Consider the following 23,947-nt stretch of genomic DNA (forward strand, 5'->3'; position numbering starts at 1 on the left):
CCTGCAACAATTATGTGAACAAATTATATATAACAGATGGAAGATATTGAATGGAGTCCCAAGGACTAGCCAGAGACAGAGCTCAAAGTTAAGCCCCTGATACTTTGAAAATTCAAAGAACATTTAAATTCTAAAAACTACAAATCAAATTTAGACCTAAACAATGAGCATGGTTTCTGACACATATATCCAATAAGCAATCTTCCTACATTTCTACTGACATTTTCTTAACATCTTCAGTTCTCAGGTTTAACCCCAAAAGACATGTTGATAATTTGGCAAAGATAGCATACATGTGGTGCCTAACATTTTCAAGGATACAGTTTATTTGAGAGTGGCTACCGTGAGGCTGATTCGAGGGCTACTACTATAAGAGAACAAAGAGGCAATATGAATTAGATCAAGGTAGTAATAGTGAGGAAAGAAAGAATTGGATGAATTCTATTTTACATAGATGCCTTCATGATTAATCGGCTCAGGTCCTACACTAGGTAACAGAAATTTAAAAACTAGAATACAACCTCTAGTTTCCAGAATCAGTGGCTAAGTAGATAGTGAAGGCATTTCCTAAGATAGGAAGAACTGGAACTTCAGAAGGTCGCAGAGAATTTTTTTCTAGTTTGATTAATGATATGCTTACCAGTTATTTCCATTTACATGTTTCAATGACATTTCAAGTTCACCATATCTTTAATCACTGTCTATACATTATCAATATGCCAATAATTCCCAAATAAATATATCAAGCCTAGACTTTTCTTGAGATTTCACTTTGTTCTTAGTCTTGATACAGGCTCTGGAATTGTTAGCATATAGACAATAATAAAATTTATATCAGTGGATAAAATTGTCTAAGGAGAGTGTAGAGTAAATAGGTAGAGAAAAAAGAAATTTAAAAAAATCCTGGAAAACAGTAATTATAAGATGTCAGCAATATGTCGCTGTAGAGCTGACAAGCATTGACTGCTTTCCTTTTTCCAGAACTGGGCTAAGAATATTTTATACGTTATTTCATGTAACCCCTATAGCAGGGATATCTGTAATAATGCCATGCGGACACAGAATATATTCTAATACTTAATAAGAAATGATGTGTGAAATCAGCAGGAAACTTCAAACAATCACCTCTGTATTATTCTCTGTATTATTTTCTTTAGATTTGAGTAGAGGCACAAAGGAAGAAAAACTGGTTAAATATTTGCTCTCTTTTTAGAAGTTTTTTATGTGTTCTGGAAGTCAGAAATTTTTACAAGTATAAAAAATCCTGGGGGTCAGGCCAAGTGACATTCAAGTTGATAACAGCGCTTTTCAGGTTTTAAATGTCAGTACTTTTAAGCCAGTCCTAATCTTTCTTGAATCAAATAAATGAATAATAAATGTCTGCAAGATTTTTCCATGCATACCCTTATTGAAATCATGCATTCATTTAACAGTACTATGCATTTATAAAGCTGGCTATTGATCAGAGGGGGTATTGTGATCATTCTTCTTTCTCTGCATTCTATCAAAGGTGCTTAAGATGTTTTGGTAATTCCTTTACATGTCTGTCTTACCCATCAGGCTATGGGCTCATTGATGGTTGGCGCATATTTTACTTATCTTCTATATCAAGAAGTTAGAAATGAACATAAAATATATTATAAACTTATATTAAAATATATTATAAACTTAATAAGTTACGCTTTGAACATTTCACATTTATAAAACTACATTTTTAATAATTTGTGAAGGGCTAAAACACAAAGATTGTCAGTAGATACTTTCTTTGAGGCCATGGTTAACGGCAGAAAAAACATGGGTCTGGGAGGTAAATACAAGTTTGAATGCTCACTATATATTAGCTTCCTCATTTTTCACTTTTATCCTTTTCATCTTAATCACCCTAGTCCATTTCTATAACCACTTGCTCACAAAGGACCTCAGCTTCCTTGCCTATCCCTCTGTCCTTGGTACTTAACTGGTAAGACTCTAGCTCTAGATAAACCAAATAGCTCTCTCCTCCATGCCTTAATCCATGAAACATGCTAGAGGGAAATCACCCAACCAGGCTCCCTAGTTTGAACTCTGAATTAATAATCAAAAACCTCAAAGGTACGCTCAAGATTTGCAGGAACTTTACTATTTTTATCTAGCAAACTTGAGATGCCATTCACTAATATTATTTCACAACATCTTCTCTCTCTTCAAACTGAGAAAAATCATCAGATGCTAAATACATTTTCTTCACATCATTAAATTTGTAATGAGCCAGCACATGAAAACCTTACAAATGGTCTTCAGCGGGACATGCTGTAAGAATAATAATTCAACTTAAAAAATGTCAGTTTATCCATCTACATTCACTTAAAAATTTCAGGCCTGCTAATACCTGCAGATCTTCTAGGTAAATCTTACTACATACATCAGTAGGGTGCAGGAATTTAAGTTAGCTTATGTTTTCATTGCAAGTCTTGGAATCATGGCCCTGATCTTCTAGCTAGTGTGGTCTACCAACTCTGTGTTCTATCTTCCACCCACATTATGCTTCAAGTACTTCAACTGGATTATTTCATCTATGTATTAAAAGAAAGTTTATTGAGTGTCATCTATGTGCAAAGCACCATTATAGAAGCTGGTGTAACAGCAGCGAAAATACAAAGTTCCCATACTCATGAAGACGATATTCTTGTAGGAAGAGTTAGAAAAAACAAACACACATATAAATGGGTAATAGAGTGATAAGTGTTATGAAGAGGAATAAAGCAACGTGGGAAATAACAAGGTCCATGCAATTAATATTTCATTTTATAAGATTGGTAGAGAAGACTTTTTAAATAAAATAATATTTAAGCAGAGTCTCAAAAGTTTTTCACCATGTGCATGTGAGAAAAACACATGAGGAGGGGACAGCAAGCACAATGGTCCTGAATTGGTGCAGGAGAGAAACAAAAAGCCAGTACGACTAGGTACAGAGTGATCAAAAAGAAGATTGTTGAGGCTGAGTGCAGTGGTTCACACCTGTAATACCAGCACTTTGAGAGGCCAAAGCAGCCACATGGCTTGAGCCCAGGAGTTCTAAACCAGCCCATCTCTCAATAAAAAAATTTTTAAAACATTATCCAGGAATGGTGGCACATCTGTAAAGTCCCAGCTACTCCAGAGGCTGAGGTGGGAGGATCACCTGAGACCAGGGAGTTTGAGGCTGCAGTGAGCTGTGATCGCACCACTGCACTCCAGCCTGGGCGACAGAGTGAGTCCCTGTCTCAACAAAGAAGAAGAAGGACAATAAGGAGAAGGAGAATAAGGAGAAGGAGAAGAAGAGAAAGAGGAAGAGGAGGAGGAGGAAGAGGAGGAGGAGGATGGTGGGGAAGAAGAAGAAGAGAAAGAGGAAGAGGAGGAGGAGGAAGAGGAGGAGGAGGATGGTGGGGAAGAGGAAGAGGAAGAAGAAGGAGGAGGAGGAGAAGGAGAAGAAAAAGAAGTTGAATAAGGAAGAGGAGGAGGAGGCAAAGGAGAAAAAGAAGAAAGAGAAGGAGAAGAAGAAAGGGTAGGGAGAAGAAGAGTGCAAAGTTGTGAGTTTAAAGGACTTTGTGTCCATTGTAAGGATTTTCTTACTATTTTTTTCCAGAGGAGCAAAATAATCTGGTGTGTTTTTAAAACACTAGTGATTACCAGATAGAAAACCAAAGCAATAATTCAAGCACCAGATTATAGTGGCTTGGCTGGGATTGGTAAAAGTGAGGTCATAAAATAGGTTAGATCCTGAACATGCTTTGGTCCTTCATCTCCTGGGACCCTAACCCTCATATAACTGGGCAGGTTGACTTTCCTTCTACCTTCTGACACTCCTCATCTCCTCAACTCTTCCACTCTGTACTCTGGAATTTCAATTCCATCAATAGCAAAATCTGTTGTGGCCTCAAATTCTTTTGTGAAAGCTTCCTTTGCTTTCTTGTCCAAAAAAGTCCAAATCTTCCCTAAAACATTGCTCCTGCTGCAGGCACAGGTAGTGGCTGTTTTCTCTCCCATGCCCCTCACAACACCAAGGTTAGAAGACATGGTTCACATCCTCACTGTTCCTCATATTCTCTTCCAGATGATTCTTGCTCTCAAATCCCACAAACACCCACTTTTGTTTATTGTGTCATCAGACCCTACTACACACTATTCCTCCTTACAACACTCATCTATCACTTCTTAGAACACTCATTTCATTCTCTTTGGCTCCTGACCAAAGTCTCTTTCCTCAACACTACCTCTGTCACATGTTTTACTGATTTCTATACTAATGTACATGATCCTTTTAATCCTTCTTCCTAGGCCCTACCATGGCAAAGACAAAGAAATGGCAACTAAAACCCATTCTGTCCTTCCATGAATAAAATTTCAAGCTAAATGAAGACCGCATGTCACAGAATCTTTCTCCAATTTTTTATTAAGGTATAGTCATATTACTAGTTCTCACTAACAAAATGTGATCAAAGCTGATCTGTGCCACTTTAGGATCAAGGCTTTTAAAAGTTAGTTGGCCTCCTCTATGCCCTCTTCACTCTCCTGCCTATAGGATGTAAGAAAAATAAGGGTTTGAAAAAATTTAAAAGGTAGGTGGAGTCTGGGTTCCTGAATCATTTATTGGCAGAAAATTGGCCACCAACTAGAAACGCAGTTTGGTAACAGAGACGTGAGGTATTTTTTTGGTTGTGTTTACAGCCACAGCCTAGCATATCTAACTAATAAGACATCTCTCATCCGACAACTCGCCTAGGACCCCACCTCATCCACCATTTCCATGGTTACACCCAAGACCTGACATTGCCAATAGCTGCACACTTTCTGTGAGCAATATTTCAAATATTCCTTTTTGATGCCAGTTGCATTGTTTTAGCTCCTTCCCGTTAGTGGTTACTTACCAAATTTTCAAAACACTATTCCATTGATGCTCACATTATTTTATGGTTCCTCATATCCATAATACCCTGATTTCTGATTTCTCTTCTTACATAGGTTAAATATAATAGAAAAGGATATACAGGCATATCTTGGAAATATTGTGGGTACAGTTCCAGACCACCACAATTCAGCAAAGATCACAATAAAGTGAGTCACACAAATTTTCTGGTTTCCCAATGCTTACAGTATGCGTACAACATACTGTAAGTGTGCAATAGTATTATTTCTAAAAAAAAAAAAAAAAAGTACCTTAATTTTAAAATACTTTGTTGCTAAAAAATACAAACAATGACATAAGACTTCACTGAGTAATAATCTTTTTGCTAGTGGATGCTCTTGCCTCAGTGTTGATGGCTACTGACTGATCAGGATGATGTTTGCTGAAGGTTGGGGTGGTTGTGTCAATCTTTAAAAATGAGACAACAATGAAGTTTGCCACATCTATTGACTCTTTCTTTCAAGGAAAATCTCTCAGGCCAGGTGTGGTGGCTCACGCCTGTAAGCCCAGCACTTTGGGAGGTCGAGGCGGGTGGATCACGAGGTCAGGAGTTCGAGACCAGCGTGGCCAATATGGTGAAACCCTGTCTGTACTAAAAATGTAAACGTTAGTCAGGTGTGGTGGCATGCGCCTGTAGTCCCAGCTACTTGGGAGGCTGAGGCTTAAGAATTGCTTGAGCCCAGGAGGTGGAGGTTGCCATAAGCTGAGATCAGGCCACTGCACTCCAGCCTGGGGGACAGAGTGAGACTCTGTCAAAAAAAAAAAAAAAAGAAAGAAAGAAAGAAACAGAGAAAGAAACAAAGAAAGAAAGAAAGAGAAAGAAAAACTTCTCTGTAGCATTTAACACTGTTGGATAGCATTTACCCACAGTACTTCTGTCAAGACTGAAGTCAGTCCTCTCAACCCTTGCCATTGCTTTATCAACTACATTTATTGAATATTTGTTTGTTGTCATCTCAACAATGTCTACAGCATCTTCATCGTGAGTAGATTCCCTCTCAAGAAACCACTTTCTTTGTTCATCTATAGGAAGCAACTCCTCATCCATTCAAGTTTTGTCATGAGGTTACAGCAACTCAGTCGCATCATCAGGCTGCACTTCTAATTCTAGTTCTCTTGCTATTTCCATCACATCTGCAGTTATTTCCTCCGCTGAAGTCTTGAACCTCACAAAGTCATCCACTGAGGGTTGGAATCAACTTCTTCCAAACTCCTATTAATGTTGATATTTTAATCTCCTCCCATGAATCACCAATGTTCTTAATGGTTTCTAGAATGGTAAATTCTTTTCAAAAGCCTTTCAATTTACTCTGACCAAATCCATCAGAATCACCATATATATGGCAGCTATATCCTTACAAAGTGTATTTCAAAAATAAAAAGACTTGAAAGTTGAAATTACTCTTTCATCCATGAGCTACATAATAGATATTGTGTTGTCACTTACATAACAGCACACATTTCCTTGTACATCTCCATCTGAGCTCTTGGGTTACCAGGTGCATTGTTAATGAGCAGTAATATTTTGAAAGGAAGTTTTTTTTTTCCATAGTGGTCATAAAATAGTCAGTATACCATGCCGTAAACAGATGTGCTGACATCTAGGCTTTGTTGCTCCATTTATTGAGCACAGGCAGAATATCTGATTTAGCTTAATTCCTAAGGGCGATACGATTTTCAGAATCATAAATAAGCATTGGCTTCAGCTTATAATCACCAGCTGCACTAGCCCCTAACAAGAGAGTCAGGCTGTCCTTTGAAGTTTGGAAGACATAGGCTTCCAAAGTTTGAGAAGTTTGGAGAAGCATAGGCTTCTCCTCTGTAGCAATGAAAGTCCTAGATTGCATCTTCTTCCAAGAGAAGACTGTTTTGTCTACATTGAAATTCTGTTGGTGACTGTAGCCACTTTCATCAATGATCTTAGCTAGATCTTCTGGATAACTTGCTGCAGCTTCTTCATCAGCACTTACTCCTTAACCTTGCACCTTTATGTTATAGACATGTCTTCTTTCCTTAAAGCTTATGAACCAACCTCAGCTAGCTTCCAACTTTTTTACTGCAGCTTCCTCACCTCTCTCAGCCTTCATAGAATTTAAGAGTTAGGGCCTTGCTCTGGATTAGGCTTGGGCTTAAGAAAATGAAGTGACTGTTTTGATCTATCCAGACCACTGAAACTTTCTCAATATCAGCAATAAGGCTACTTTGCTTTATTATCATTCCTGTGTTCACTGGAATAGCACTTCTAATTTTCTTCAAGAACTTTTTCTTTGCATTCACAGCTTGGCTAACCAACTCATACAAGAGTTGTAGCTTAGCCTTCAACATGCCTTTCTCACTAAGCTTAATCATTTCTAACTCTTGATTTAAAGTGAGGTATGTGTGACTTTTTCTTTCACTTGAACCCTTAGAGCCTATATTGTATGGTTATTCATTGGCCTAATTTTATTATTGGTGTGTGTCAGGGAATAGGGAGGCCTAAAGTGAGGGAGAGAGCTGAGGAAATGGCCAGTTGGTGGAGCAGTCAGAACTCACACATTTACTAAGTTTGCTGTCTTATATGGGTACAGTTCATGGTTCCCCAAAACAATTACAACAGTAGCATTAAAATTGCTGATCACAGGCCAACATACAGATAAAATAATAATGAAAAAGTTTGAAATATTGTGAGAATTACCAAAATGTGACAAAGAGACACAAAGTGACCACACGCTGGCGGAAAAAAAAATGGTGCTGATAGAATTGCTCAACACAGGGTTGCAATAAACCTTCAATGTGTAAAAAACGCAGGCCAGGCGTGGTGGCTCATACCTGTAATCCCAGCTCTTTGGGAGGCTGAGGCGGGCGGATCACTTGAGGTCAGGAATAGCTGAGATCAGCCTGGCCAACACGGCAAAATCACATGTCTACTAAAAATACAAAAATTAGCTGGGCATGGTGTTGCAAGCCTGTAATTCCAGCTACCTGGGAGGCTGAGGCATGAGAATCACTTGAACCCGGGAGGCGGAGGATGCAGTGAGCCGACATTGTGCCACTGCACAACAGCCTGGGTGACAGAGCGAGGCCCTCTCTCAAAAAACGAGCAAAGAAACAAACAAATAAACAAAAAACTTCAAGATCTGTGAAGCACTATAGAGTGAAGTACAATGAAACCAGGTCTGCCTGTACTCCAAATCCCTTGTCCCTGTCACTTGATCAGTTACTTGCTTAAACCACAACCCTGATTAAATTTGGTCCCCTCCAATATTGTATCTCTGTACTGATAGAGCTGAATGGGGATGGGAAAAAAGCAGAGAACCATGATAACTGGTTTCTCCTAAATTCCCTGACACTAACTTCAGTTAAACCCATAATGGTGACACAAAGTTTTTCTATATTTCTTAAATCATCTGTTCTCTCACTGCCTTTTACCTTCAAACGTACACCACCAAAAACTCATTCTCTGTATGAGCTGGTGTTGTGTTTTGTGTCACTGAAAATACTGAGACCACCCCAAAAATCCTCCATAAGATCACTACCACTTAGAGTTTCAGCATCTGTGCACACATACTTTGCCTTCTTTTTTCTACCTATGGATAAATTTCATCTTGTACTAGCCAAGGTCAAGATGTCTGCACTAGAATTCATTCCTCTCCCGCTTACACTCAGGAATATTCTTCTAGCAATTCTCCCTTTTTTCATGTCTGAAATTTTTGTCTCTAGTAACTCACTCTCCACAATAAATACTACTTCTCTTATCTTAGAATGTTACATTTACCCCATTCCTCCTTCACTTACTATGTAAATTTTTATAGCAAAATGTGTACAAAGCATTTCATGTGCACAAAGAAAAATGTATACAAAGTTTTATTTGTTGTCTCTCATTGTCTTCCCCCAGTGTGCTATTCACCCCAATCACAGTTTTGCCTCCCACTGCAGCTGTGCCCATCAACAAAACCCCTTGACATCACTAAATCTAGTGGTCATTCTTTGCCATCTGCTTGCTTGACACAACAGCATGATAGAGTAATTGTGATTCTTGGAACCATTTTCTCCTCTAGGCTCTCAGGACTCTATTCATCGTGGTCTTGTCCAACTTCTCTTTCTTGTCTCTCAGTGTTCTTTCCTGGTTCCTCTTCCTTCCCCTCACTTCCATTTGGTGTGTCCCAGTGTTTAGTCTTTAGACTCTTTTATTTCTTGTCTATACTCTTGGGTGACTACCTCAATCAATTTCATGGCTTTGAAAAACATACACAATCTTTCACTTATTACAATTTATATATTCTCTGAACTCTAGGCTCATCTATTCAGCTATTTGCTCTCTTAATTTGCATGTCTCACAGCCATCTTAAGCTTTACATGTTCAAGATTAATTCCTAATATTATCTTCCACCAAAAATCCACTGTTGCTGAGCATGGTGACACATGCCTGTAGTTTCAGCTACTTGGGAGGACGAGGCAGGAAAATTGTTTGAGCCCAGGAGTTTAGGGCTGCAGTAAGACTTTTACAAACAGAGTGACTCTGTTTCTGAAAAACAAATCAAATAAAATCATAGTGTTCTTCTTATAATCTTAACTGTCTCAATAAAAGGCAAATGAGTTTTTCCAAATGTGAAAGCCAACTACTTTGGAGAGTCCCTTAACTACTTTTATTTACACTACAGCTGTAAACCTCCAGCAAATCTTGCCAGCTCTACTTTTGACATATACCCAGAATCCAACTGCTTCTCACTTCTTACTGCTACTACTGCTGGGCCCTGGCCCCCCTCACCTTCTATACAGATTCTTGTTGTACCTTTGGGTTGGTCTTCTCTAGATGCTGCCTTTGACCATTAACAAGCTTCCAGGATTAACTTTTTTAAATCTTTGGCAGAATGTTACCTTTTTTGCTTAAAATCCTATAGGGATTTTTATCTCACTTAGTGCAGAAGTCAGTTTTTTGTTTTGTTTTGTTTTGCTACAAGACACTATTTGACCTCCAAATTTTGCCATTAACTCTTTGAACTCCTCTCCTATTGCTCATGTTCTGATCCTGAGCTCTTTATTTCAGCCACACAATTTCTGGAAGGCCTAGGCAAATCCCTGCTTCAGAGCCCTTGCAGCAGGAGTTACATTTTCCTGCCATCTTTACTCAAATGTGAGTGAGGCTTTTATTGGCTATCCTTGTCTCCTTTTCTTGTATATTCATTATAGGCAGAATAAAAGATGGCCATATCCTAATCCCCCAAACCTGTGAATATGTTAGGTTACACGGCAAAGGGAAATTAAAGTTGTAAATAGAATTAAGGTTGCTAGTTAGTCGACTTTACAACAAGGACATCATCCTGGATTATCCCCGTGGGCTCCACAGAGTTCCAAGAGTACTTCGAAGTAGAAGAGCAAGGCAGAAGAGAAGAGCCAGAGTGAAACGTGACTACGGAAGAAACACACAGAGACAGGCAGCTTTGCTAGTGTTGAAGATGCAGGAAGAAAGCCATGAGCCAACATGAATGTGGATGGTCCATAGAAGCAAGAAAAGGCCAAAAAAAGAACTTACCCCTAGAGCAACCTGATGGGAATGCAGCCCTGCCAATATCCTGATTTTAGCCCAGTGTGACCCATTACACACTGGGTCTATATGACCTTACACAACCAAAAGGTAGTAAGTTTCTGTGGTTTTAAACTCTTAAATGTGTGGCAATTTGTTACAGCGGCAATAAAAAGCTAACACCTACCTAAAGTTTAACCAACTTCTTCAACATTCCTTTCGCCTCTCCGCTGTTTTATTTTTGCCATAGCATTAATTTCTTACTAATGTACATTATGGTTTGTTCATTTTTCTTATTAATGCTGTGTCTCATTGGAATGCAAGTTCCGTGAAGGCTGTAAGAACAGATATTTTTGCCTTTTTTGCTGATCGCTGTATCCCCATCACCCACAAGTGTGCCTAGAGCATGATAAATATTTATTAAAATTGTTGAATGAATACATTGAATATATATATATATATATATATAGATATATATAGATATATATATATATATGCGTGTGTGTGTGTGTGTGTGTGTGCTGATTGGTTATATTTAATTTAGATTCTCTCCATTGCTTTATCTTGTGCTTGTTAAGGACCTTTCTTATTTACTTACTGAGTTATTCAGTAATTACAACTTCTGCCCTCCAGTAAATCATCTTGCAGACCTGAGTTCTCACTTTCTTAACTCCAGTTTACTTGATCCTTCTCCCTATAATTCCATACAACATTTGAAGCAAAAAATGCCCTAAAAGCACTTTTTAAAACACCTGCTCACTCAGAAAGTATATCAGGAACAGAGGCATTTAGTGATTGTTGATATGCACTTGTTAAACATTGCTGAGTGGTCAGCACTGTGAACATAATGGATTACCTTGTAAAATCTTTTATGATATATTTAATCTTAATTTGTTTTTGATGAATAACAACAAAACATATTAATCTTATAATTAGCAATAAATGAAAAACATAAGTTTATATATTAATTTTGTAAAGTAATGACTATATATGTTGCAGAGACAAGAAGGTCATACATATACAGATGCCTTTATATGTTTTTACCCTAGAAAACTTAAAAAGATTTATCCATTTTCCTACCTAGATTTTATTTTGCTTTTGATCACTTTTCTTACCTTAATTTATATTTCAATATGGTATTTCATCTTCAATATTATACTTTTAAAAGTACTAGCTTCTAAGGAAAATAAAATCGAATTTACTCTTGAAATCACTTTTCATATGTATAATGTGATATCTACTTTACTCATATTATGTTAGATAGTACGCAATAGTTTGGAGTGGCTGATTGCCCTGTTCATACTATTCCAAGCAATATCTAAAGACAAACGCACTGAACAAACTGAGTTAAACTTTATCTGCTGAAATTTGCAGCTTATTTAGTGGCTTATGAGAAGAAACACACACACAGATTGAATAGAAAAGGATTTTTCCCCATTAAAACATCCTTATGTATTCTGATTGTGATTACATGGAGGTCATTTTTCAAAATGCCAAATGGTTTCTTATCAGAATAAGAATGACACAAGCTGTGGTCTGACTTACGTGACATTGAATCTCAAAATGAGTCAGTAAAGTAAATTAAAAAGTGAGAGTTTTGCAGCAAGTTAGCACTCCCTCCTGAATCCTGCCTTGTAGAGTGTCATGATATATTGAACTATCAAGAGCATATTATACAAAACACACACACAGTTAGTATTTGCTCCAGAATTACGTTATTGTAAAATCAATGAGTTGACATCATGTATGAAATTTTCCATGCAAGGCTTCAGGGAAAATTTTTTGTGGTCAAACTCAGCATTAGTCCATCCCATTGGGTAATTACAGCATTCAAAACTCATGCCGATTATTACGGCCATTTATGTTCATAATAACATCTGTCAATCTTCCAGCTATATTTATCTTATGAAGGTAATAGTGCTGTCTCACGTAGAAATGAAGAATATGTTAATTAAAGCAAATTGAAATTCTTATTTCCCGTAATTTGAATGACTACCCAAAGAAATGGAAAATAAGTGATTAAAATAAAAACAGATATCTAAGATCTTAAAATAAAGTTTGCTCTAATTTTTAGATCATTTTAATTAGTTCTCAAATAGAGTCCAAACAAAATAGCATACCACTTCCTTTACTATGGTTTTGCAAATACAGTTGTGATAATTGGTCAACATTGTTTGGCAAAGGACAATTTCATCTGAAAGTTTATGAGTTTGGCTTGTATTAGTTCTGTAAAGATTGGCTTTAATTCCAAAAATCACCTATAAGCCATTGACCAAATGCTTTCTGTTTTGTTTTGCAATATGAGTAATAATACTCATCATAGGGGTTTTAAAAAGCATCCTTAGAAACCAGTTACCTTCATCCAAAGTTGTATTTAAATCTACAGGTGAAGAAACCTAAAGTAGGATGGTAAACTTCATCCACGACCCAAACTGGCAAATAAAGATAACCCAAAATATTTTTTGTCAGCCAGCACAATGTTTTGTAGTAGTTGTTATGCCTGTTTCTGTTTTTTCCATGATGTGAGGATGAAATGAACAGAGTCTGAAAACATCTCTGTTTAGAAGCTTCATTCCACTTTGGATAATAATTCCCTCTAATAACTTTTTTTTTTAACTTTCTGCCTTCCTTACCAATTGGCTATTCAATATCATATGGTACAGTTTACTTCAGAGCCAGAACTTTTCCTCAAATTGTTATTATAATTTTTACAACTAAAATGCAAAACATCTATTTGTGTTATTATTAATCCAGATTTAATGTATTCATTTATTAAAGAATACTAAACAACCTGAGCACATAAATAAAATACACTTTTTAAAGGAGAGTGAAAAACAATCCTTTCATCATGATTTTTATCTTCTGTATTCAATGGTTTGACCTGGCAGTTTGTCTGTTTGTTTGTTTATTCTTCAACCAATTTAAAAAAGAAAAACTATCCTGAGAAGGACATCTATATGCTATGAGCTAATTATCGCTGGTGCTTTTCTAATCAGATGACGTAGCCAAGTCAAGTAAATGTTCTTGAATTTGTTAATCTATAGAACTAGATTGTAATACTATATGTTTCACAGGATTTTTGTTAAAATTAAGTGGAATAATTTGAGAAATGTTATACCCAACATCTGGCAAACAGTAGGCTGAGTAGGTTCAGGGAGCAGGTCAGTTTTGTTAATCTATCGATTACCTTCATGCTTAGGACAATGCCTGGGACACTGCAGGAACTCAATTATAATTGTTCATTGGATCAGTGAATATATGAATAAAACCTACTTTCTATTTTTGACATCTAATCAGGGTTTATTAGTGCAAAGACACAGAATTGGGGATGGAGATAAGTCAATGAAAATGAAAGAAGAGTCATTATATAGAAATATCAAGAACAGTAAACATCCAGGTAGTTAAAGTAATATTTGTTTGGAGGACATACATAATTTAAAGAGAAATTCTGTCTTTAAACATTAGGTTTATGTATTACTAAAAATAGTAATTATCTATCTTTAAAAAATGTTGACTGCCTAACCTTCTAGAACATAGAGGGAGAACTGCAATTTTGTTTTCATTTTTAGTTTGTATGTGTTAACAAAATACTACTGCTAAAATGTCCTTCTCCACTGACTTTAACTGATATCCAGTAAATGTGTAATACCAGCAATTGGAGTCAAACCTAGATTTAAAAGTGACATATGATTAGAAAAAGGGAAGTAGAGATACACATTAAATATAATAATCTGTCACCTAATACATAGAAAAAATAAAAAATACTTTTCATGGTAAGAAAAGGACCACTTCTCAGACAATGCTCCTTCCCTTATACTTAAAAACATCAGCAGTGATAGACGATCTTAAGAGGCTGTCTGTATTCACTTTCTAGTCATCCTGAAGGCCTTTTGTATGTTTCTTAAAATAGTTAATGAAGAATAGCCTTGAAAAATATTTTAGCAATATCCACGGTCATAAGTTCAGAAATCAATTGTATCTAATGAAAAAAACCTGACAAGCTCGCTTAATATTCAATATATGAGCTTGTTTTCCCACTGGCTCACATTTAAGGCATGTAAAATGTGCTTTTCAGGGAATGATATATTTGTGGAGTAAAGATGATACACTTTGCAAATATTCTTCGAGACAGATCATTCAAATGTATGTCCTGTTTAGAACTTTGCTGCAACCTGAGTGTGTGGATGCTGTTAAGGACTGAATATCTGTGTCCCCCTAAAATCATATGTTGAAATCTTAACCCTCATTGTAATGATATTAGGAGGTGGGGCCTTTGGAAGATGATTAGGTCATGAAGGCAGAGCCTCATAAGTGGAATTAACAACCTTATAAAAGAAACCCCAGAGAGCTCTCTTGCCTCTTTGCTTGCATGCTGAGTACACAGCAAGAAGACGGCCTCTATGAAACAGAAAGTGGACCCCTACCAGACAATGAATCTGCTGACACCTTGCTCTTGGACTTCCCAGCCTCCAGAACTGTGAGAAATAAATACTTGTTGCTTAACCCAGCCAACTTATGGTATTTCTGTTACAGCAGCCAAACTGACTGAGACAGATGCTGAGCTAGTCATTCCAATTTTTGATCACACAAAAAACCTAAAGCACATTTCCACGCCTGTTAAAATAGTTCCAGAAGTTATGATGATCATTTCCAAGAAAAACTAGTCCAGACTATTTAAGTCTATATGGTATTTCTAAAGAGAGCATGTTAAACATTAATCATTTTTTTGAAGTTACTTTCTTCTTTTTCAGAATTGAGCTGGTCTTTATTTAAATCATTTATCTATTTATTACCACTAAAACTAAATTGACTTACCTTTTGAGAAACAGAAGCAGGGCCCAGAGAGATTTCTTTCCTTGTTTTGCTTTCACTACCAATTTTCTTTTGCTACTAAAGTGTGCTGTTCACCTTCAAGAGCAGAGGGAGTAAGTTTTATGGACTCTTGCACTCCTTTATATATGGCGGCAACCTGAGTAAATACAGTAAAGATGCAACTAGAAACCTCGCACTTTGGAAGATGACTTTAGTTTACAGAATCTGACTATCTATAGCTCTTAAAACTCTTGGCAGTAAAAATTTATAGCATCAGGAACAATTTTCTGTACCCCAGCACTGAGTCCTGCTTCAGGAAGAACATTCTTCCATCTGTATGAAAAATTGTTGCTAAGAGAAAATATTTTTATACCGATACATGTCTTGTGTTTTTGCTCCTTATCTGATATTCTAGATTTTCTCTTAAAAGACATTTTCCTTTCTGTTACTTGGGATTTATCTAGATCTCAGTTAAATCACTTATAGCTAAAGGCACTTTTAGAGATTTATAAGGTTAAGGATTTTCGATGATGTAGATATTGTATTCAGTTTCTAAAAGTTACTGTCCCTATAAGTCAAGTATATTAAGTCAAACTTTTAAAACAACCTGGTATTTATATTAAATAATACATCAGAATAAATTCTGAAGATTTTGAAATAGACTATATATTTACATTCTGTATTTTGTAGTTGAATGTATCTTGTTTGGTTCTGGAGCAAAGTGAGACATAATCTTCCCTACATTAAGCATAAATGGCATTCTAAATTCAGAGCAAACTTATACATGTACTAGTAGCAGTCAAGGAAATATTCCCAACCATATTACACAAAAATTTGTATAAGCTTCAAGATTAATTATGGATTTCTGATATACAAAGCATGATGTATTTTTGAGTAAGAACACAGATGGAAGTTCCATTTTAGCTCAGTTTTACATTTTTCAAATTTACTTTCTCTCTGATAGCTAACTTAACTTTTCAACAAACAAGCACTGATCGTAAACATGAAAATAGCTGGGAAAATTGATTACACTGATCTCTGTGGAACTAACAAAGACTCTCTCTTTGACCAAACTCCAGCCAGGCTCCTCTGGGCCTCCTGTTCCACTAGGCTTTAACTTTGGCCCATAAAGACTTCAACAAACACTAACATCATTTCTAACACCTCCAGGCCACATCCTTAAGATGACCCTAGGCCGCCTTATAGCACTTGTTTGAGAAAATTCAAGGCTGCCAAAAATTTTTCTATTTGTTTCATCCAACACCTGAGGACAGAGCTTCTGTCTCCCAGTCTCTCTGGGATGATAAATATCTCCTATAATCTCCAGCTAGCAAGCACAGCTGGCCTGACCACAGTCACACTAACTAACCCTTTGTATTTTTTCACATCCTTGACTCTACCAAACTCATGCTCACCTCCTTTCCTGTTTACTCCCTTGTTCTCTCTTTAGAATTTCCTGTACCTCTGTACAAATCAAAGTTGAGTTCAGTCCACAATGGACCCTTTTTTTCTATTGCAATAATTATTACTGATTGAAATGAGTCCTTACCATTTTCACTAGTGTCTGGCTTTATCATTGGCAAAATAATTTCTTTATGTAGGATCCAGCACAATGGGAGAAATGAGACAAATAGCTACCCACAAAGATAATGTTTTTCAATACTGATTGTATCTAGATGCCATGAAACAATTGGCGTCACTTATGGGTTCACCCTTTCCAACCCTGGCAATCCATTTTACATTGCCCTGGCTCTGTCTGATTATTGACAGGGAGCTTTTCAAACTCCTGAGCCTCTGTTTGTGTTTCAGATGGAGTTTAAGTTAATTCAGCCTTCCTAACTTTCCACAAAAAATATCATAGCCTTATGTTTACACAAACCTACACACAGAGACATGTATGTACACACACATACACTTTCATGAAATACTTTACGAATTAAGATGACCAGCACTCCTAGCCTTCCTATGGGCAAAGTCCAGAAGAAATCTCTCATATTGCATATAACAGCAACAATATTAATGGATAATGCATATTTTTCAGGAGAGGACAGAAAATCTGTGAATCATTAAGAAAGCAATGTTACGTCCAGGCGCGGTGGCTCACGCCTGTAATCCCAGCACTTTGAGAGGCCGAGGCGGGCAGATCACGAGGTCAGGAGATCGGGACCATCCTGGCTGACACGGTGAAACCCCATCTGTACTGAAAACACACAAAAAATTAGCCGGGTGTAGTGGCGCCTGTAGTTCCAGCTACTCGGGAGGCTGACGCAGGAGAATGGCGTGAACCCGGGAGGCGGAGCTTGCAGTGAGCAGAGATCACGCCACTGCACTACAGCCTGGGTGACAGAGCGAGACTCTGTGTCAAAAAAAAAAAAAAAAAAAGAAAAGAAACAAAAAAACAAAAAAAAAACAGCTATGTTAGAAACATTGTGGTTTGGCACCACAATACATTGATTAAGAATAACAGATGTTGTCAAGAAGTTTATTTTTACCCTTATATTTATAAGATTAATTCAATGCCAATTGAAATTACTAGTGGGATTTACTTTTCAATTTAAAAAAAATGATGTCACAGTTTATTTACAACACTGGTTCTTGAACAGGAACTATTTACCCCCAGGAGACACTGAACGACGTCTAGAGACATTTTTAGTTGTCACAACCATGGTTATTCCTAATGGTATCAGGCTGGTAGAGGCCAGAGATCCTACTAAACATTCTCTACTAAATAGTGCCTACAAGAAAGAATTATCTGGTCCAAAATGTTAACAGTTGCCAAGGTTGAGGAATCTTGATTAGAATATGAAGGTCATTAAAATGACAACACATTTTTTAACAAAGAGTAAAAACATGATGCTCAAATCTAAAAATATTATATTGTTCTAATAATTGAGTGGTATTGATGTAAGAATTGACAGAAAATTCATTGAATAGTATTGATAAAACTGAAACTAATACGTTGTAAACTAATGTAATCTGGTCCAATGTTTCTAGTTTGACTGCAAGCACCAGAAACCTTTTAAAAAACAATGCATCTAGGGCATGATCAAACGAAAATAACAAAGATGTAAATAATAACTTGTGAACAGCAATACTAATAGTATTAACATAATAAAAGCAGAGGATGTCCCTAAATAACCATACAAAATTCAAGGGGAGCATAGTCTTAAAAGTTTAAAAATAAATGAAATGCACCTTGCATCTATTTATACCTCCTTATTTTCAGTAATTCCTGATCCTCTCACTTTCTTGTCCTCATGGCAAACAGTAAGTATAATGAAGGACCAGGTGCCATGTCTGCCCAGGCTCTTCCCCAGAGAGTGCTATCTTTACTTAATCACTTACCCTCTGTACATCCTCCCATCTCCCTGTCTACCTCTAATCCATTAATGTTGGACCATTTGCTAACTCTTCATGTATTAAGACCTTCCACAAAAAGCTTTTTATTTTATTTATTTATTTATCTGTATTTGACAGATAATAACTGTGTGTATTTATAAGGTAAAACATTATATTTTGATTCATGTATACATTGTAGAAAGTTTCAACTGTTGGGAAAAGTGGAGTGTTTGGAGAAGCTGAGGCAGGGCTTGCGTGTCGACATAATATAAAAGAGTCTTGGAACATGTCCGGGGTCCAGGGTCTAAAATCCCTTGTGGCCTCTGGAACACCAAGCTCTGCGCTAAACAGTTGGAAGGCTACCCTGACACACCATAATCTAAGCCCAGGGCATAAAATCCCTTGCGGCTTGGATAGAATCCAGGGCTCGTAGTTCTGGAATGTGTCTAGACTTGCTGGCTCCCCGCTCTTTGCTCTCCCAGGATTGACTGTGTCTTGAGTTAAAAGAACCTGCTCTCCATTATCTCAAGTAGCAGAGCAAATGCTAAACCATCACAGCTGTAAATCATGTGCTTAATGCTATGTGCCCTTTTGACCTCCACATTCTCACCACCTGTTTCTCTGTTGGATTACCAATAGATTGGGCTCCCAGAGCTCGCGGACTTTGCAGCTTTCATGATTGTGATGGCCCCCTGGTCCCACCTTTCTCTCTCAAACCGTCTTTTATCAATCTTTTGACTCCACCGAACTTCATCGCCCCCACGACCTGGTGTTGGGTCTGATCACCCCAACATTCAGCCAAGCAAATTAACATATCTATTACCTCATCCTCTTACCATTATTTTTTGTAGTGAGAATGTTAAAAATTTATTTTTCCGGCAATTTTGAAATACGCAATACATTATTAACTGTGGTCACCATGCAGTGCAATAGATTATTGCACTAAAAATTATTCATCCAGTCTAAATGAACATTCGTATCCTCTGATCAATATCTCCCTTGTCCCTATCCCTTCTCCTCCCCCGCACTTCCCAACTTCTGGTAATCACCTTCCTACTCTCTGTTTCAAGGAGATTGACATATTTAGATTCCACATATAAGTAGATTATATAGTGGTTGTCCTTTTGTCTTACTCCACTTAGCATAATGTTCTCCAGTTTCATCTGTGTTATCACAAATGAGAGAATTTCCTTTTTTAAGGCTGTATAATATTTCATTGTTTAAAATGGAATGCCACATTTTTAAAATTTATTTATCTGTTGATGGACACTTAAGTTGCTTCCATACCTTAACTATTGTTAATAATTCTGAAATAAACATGTGAGTACAGGTATCTGTTCCACATACCAATTTCAAGTCTTTTGGATATATACCCTGTAGTGGGATTGCTGAATCATATAGTAATTCTATTTTTAGTTTTTTGGGGAAACTCCAAACTATTTTCCAAAACGGCTGTACTAATTTACATTCCCAATGACAATGTACAAGGGATTCCTTTTCTCCCTTGTTAACACATGTTACCATTATTTTTTTTATTACAGCCATTCTAACAGGAGTGAGATGGTATTTCCATGGTTTTAGTTTGCATTTCTCTGATGACTACAGATGTTGAGCATTTTTCATATTCCTGTTGGCCATTTGTATCTCTTCTCTTCAATATGTATGGGCCAAGCCCAGTGGCTCACACCTGTAATCCCAGCACTTTGGGAGGCCAAGGCGGGTGGATTGCTTGAGCTCAGAGGTTCAAGACTAACCTGAGCAACATGGCAAAACCCCAACTCTACCAAAAAATAAATACAAAAAATTAGCCAGGCATGAATGGTGGCATGCACCTGTGGCCCCAGCTACTCAGGAGACTGAGGTGAGAGGATGGATCACTTGAGCCCAGGAGGCAGAGGTTGCAGTGAACCAAGATCACAGCACTGCACTCCAGCTTGGGCAACAGAGTGAGATCCCATCTAAAAAAAAAAAAAAAAAGAAAGAAAAAAAAGAAAAGAACAAAGAATAAAGAGAAAATGTCTTTTCAGATTTTGCCTATTTTTTAATAGTTTGTAGACATGACTAGAGACACTTTCTTGGCAAAGGCAGTACTAGAATTGGACCTAAAGTGGTTAGAAATTTTAGAGACAGTTTTTTGGGAAAGGGTGTACCATGTAGAAGATTCATGTTTGCCATATAAAATGGGTTTGTTAAATGACCAGTGGTGGAATTTGGGGAGGAAGGAGTTGTACTTGTGATGTATAGTAAAAAAAATTTCAAATGGTTAATTAAAACAAGGTCACTTTGAACGATCTAGCATATGTTGATATTTTCTTTCTTCATTTGAAGCCTTGCTTAGGAATTTGGATGTTGAAACCATTTAAGATGTGAGTAAGCTTGACCTGATAGAACACACCAAATAGTTACTTGTTACACAGAAATTTCATAATGTCAATAGGTGAATCTGTCAGAAAAAGAAATGAAAGAATCTTTAAGTTGCTTTTAGATTGATTTATTGCCACGTTTAAACCAGTTTTACCAGAGAGAATTGTTTTTGCCTCATCAGTGTGACTGAATCAGTGGGCTGGAAAATAAAATTTCTGAGCTCCATTTTTACTATGTGCCAGCAAGGAATTTGAACAAGAAACTTTGTCTAACTCCTTTTATACATACAAAAAATTAAATTGTAAAATGTCTAGCTTTCTGTAGTGATTAATGTTTCACTAACTGACCAAATCTACTGGTTAAAACATAGAGCTGTAATTCATTGAAAACTTCATAAAGATTACATGTCATTTTATAACTGCAGTTTAAGTTTCATTTATTTTGCTTTATTTTAGGCATTATAGAAACATGGCAAATGGAGTACCATTTCAATATGTTTTAGTTTACCAAGGAATGCATCATGCATTTTGTCATTGAAGCCTTGTAGAATACCTGTAAACTCAGCAGCCATCTCTTCTAAATGTCTTTAATAAACTCACTCTGCTACTCTCTGGAAGGTGAAAAGTCTGATCCAAACTCTAAATTCTGATTCTCCTACAAACCTCTTAAGTGAATTGATGACTGTGTTTTCACTTGAATGATATATTAAAATGAGAAGCTTCACCAGAAGGTAATTCCCTTAATTTCCCGTGATCTACCTGAATTCCACACATCCTCTGCCCCATTCTCCTCTGAATCCCATCTGCCCCTGACTTCTCCTCTTAGCCTTCATCATTAATGTATTTGTCCATGAATGGCTGTTTCTCACTACTATTCATACATATTCTTTCACATTAAAACATATTTAAAAATACACTTTTCTCCAACCTACCACCCCATGACACTCAAACTTGCCTAAAACATTGTCCTGACTCACACCTTTGTTTTACCCCACTCATTTCTGGAGGTCAAACTACAAAGTGATGAACAAAACCAAGCACAGTGGCGGTACAGGTCCAAGCACTAAGATCTCAGTATGTGGACACACACTGAATGCTGGAAGACTACCATGTTGTTTTTCACATCTTCAATCACAGAACGCAGAGTGAGCTACCTGAACAGGCTTCAGAATTTTAACCTCATCTCTCCTCCCTTTATGCCATGAGATAATACCCCTTATTGCAAATCATCACCCTTCAGGAATACAGAAATGTACATATAAGTATTTAAAGAAATGATAGAAGAAGAAAATGGATAAGTGGGTAAGTAGAAAGACAGGCTCTGAATCCACAGTTCTTGCACATTATTTCTCCAATGACACCTTCACTCCCATTTTTTAAAAAACTGCTCAGAATAACAGTAATATCTTACTGTAAAAAGCAGCTGTATAAATAAATTACAATAATTATATTCCATAACTGTAATCTTATTATTACAGAAAGTATTGTAAATAAACTATACATACAGCCATAATATTACAGAGCAAACACTGTGTTATTGAAATGTTAGATATAATGCGCTTCTCAATACAAACTAAAATGTATTTCAATACTGTAGCACTTATTAAGAATTATGGAAGCTCAGTAGATGAAATACTGTTTTAATATACCATTTAAAATGTTAATAGTATTTCATTTTAAACCATGGAATCATTACTTATGAGCATAATAATCAGAATTATCTCCAGAAATGTATTTTAGACAAGTTTTAATGATGTGTTTTAAAAAATTTACTGAATATAGAACAACTTTGTTCTCAGCACTTTCAATAATTTACTAGTGATGTAATTTTTCAAGTTTGTTTACTCATAATAAATTCAAGTACATACGCAAGAAATGCATTTATACGAAAATCACATGATACAAGAAAAAGAAGAACGTGACAAATGTTTGAAATTGTGATTCTAACCTAATACAAAACATCACAAACCCTTTGCACTTTACAAAAACACAGATCATAGTTTTATGAGCTATGCAACCATAAAAATGTCAGTAATATTAGAAAGTTTTTTCCCGTGTACTGCATATGTTTTAATAGTTAATTTTTTTACACAATCTATATCTCTGAGTTTTTATTTGTGGACACATAGCTTCCAAACAATGGGGATTGCATTCCATCAAATTAGAACATTTAGTTTATTTTCAATATGTTTGATGAATCTACATGTGTGGAAATATTTTTATCAATTTAATTGAGGTATAATTTATGTCCAGCAAATTGAGTTCTCTTAATTGGCAATTCAGTTAATTTTAACACTTGATGCACTGGGGAAGGCACTGCTATAATCAAGCTACAGAACATTTTCTTTGCCCGCAAAGCCTCCTCCCACTTCTTTGCAGGACCTCTGTGCCTCCATCACCCTGATCCAATATAGTAAGTTTTGTATCTGGTTCAGTGATTTTGAGACAGACGAATGTTGTTTTCTGATTCAGTATTACATTTCATCTTATTGATTAGTATTATTCTATTGTTAAAATCTACAAAATATTTTTATCCATTCTTTTGATGGACATTTGGGCTGCTACCAAATTTTGGCTATTACAAATAAAGCTTCCATGAATATTCTTGTAGAAATCCATCTTTAGACATAAACTTTCATTTAATGCATTTATATTAATAGAAGTGCAGTTCTTACCTCAAAAAGTATGTGTATAATTGACTGTGTAAGAAATTGCTAAAGCACTTCCAGAGTTTTAGTAATCTTTTATACAATCACCAGCAATCATTGAGAGTTCTATTTGTAACTTTTCACACATTTACTGTTGTCAATGTTTCTAATTTTAGTCCTAGTGGGTGTTAAATGACATGTAACTATGACTTTAATTTACATTTTCTGATAACTCACATGCTTTTTTTTTTGGCCATTTGTGTATCTTCCTTTGTGAAAATGCTAACTCAAAGTCTAAAATAATCGCTCATTTTATATTGACTTGTATGATAGTTTGGGCCTTCCAAAAAGCAAATGC

General features: G+C 36.4%; 1 long non-coding RNA gene across 1 annotated transcript in view; it reads right to left on the reverse strand.

Annotated features, from left to right (window-relative positions):
• LOC101929028 (uncharacterized) overlaps nucleotides 1-23,947 on the reverse strand; it is a 382,849-nt gene that overhangs the window by 107,962 nt on the left and 250,940 nt on the right. Inside the window, exon 8 of the long non-coding RNA XR_007061175.1 lies at nucleotides 15,243-17,434. This is a non-coding gene — a long non-coding RNA (uncharacterized LOC101929028). The remainder of the gene's footprint in view (nucleotides 1-15,242; nucleotides 17,435-23,947) is intronic.

Source organism: Homo sapiens, chromosome 8 (genome assembly GCF_000001405.40).
Source record: "Homo sapiens chromosome 8, GRCh38.p14 Primary Assembly".
Taxonomy (NCBI): Eukaryota; Metazoa; Chordata; class Mammalia; order Primates; family Hominidae; genus Homo; species Homo sapiens.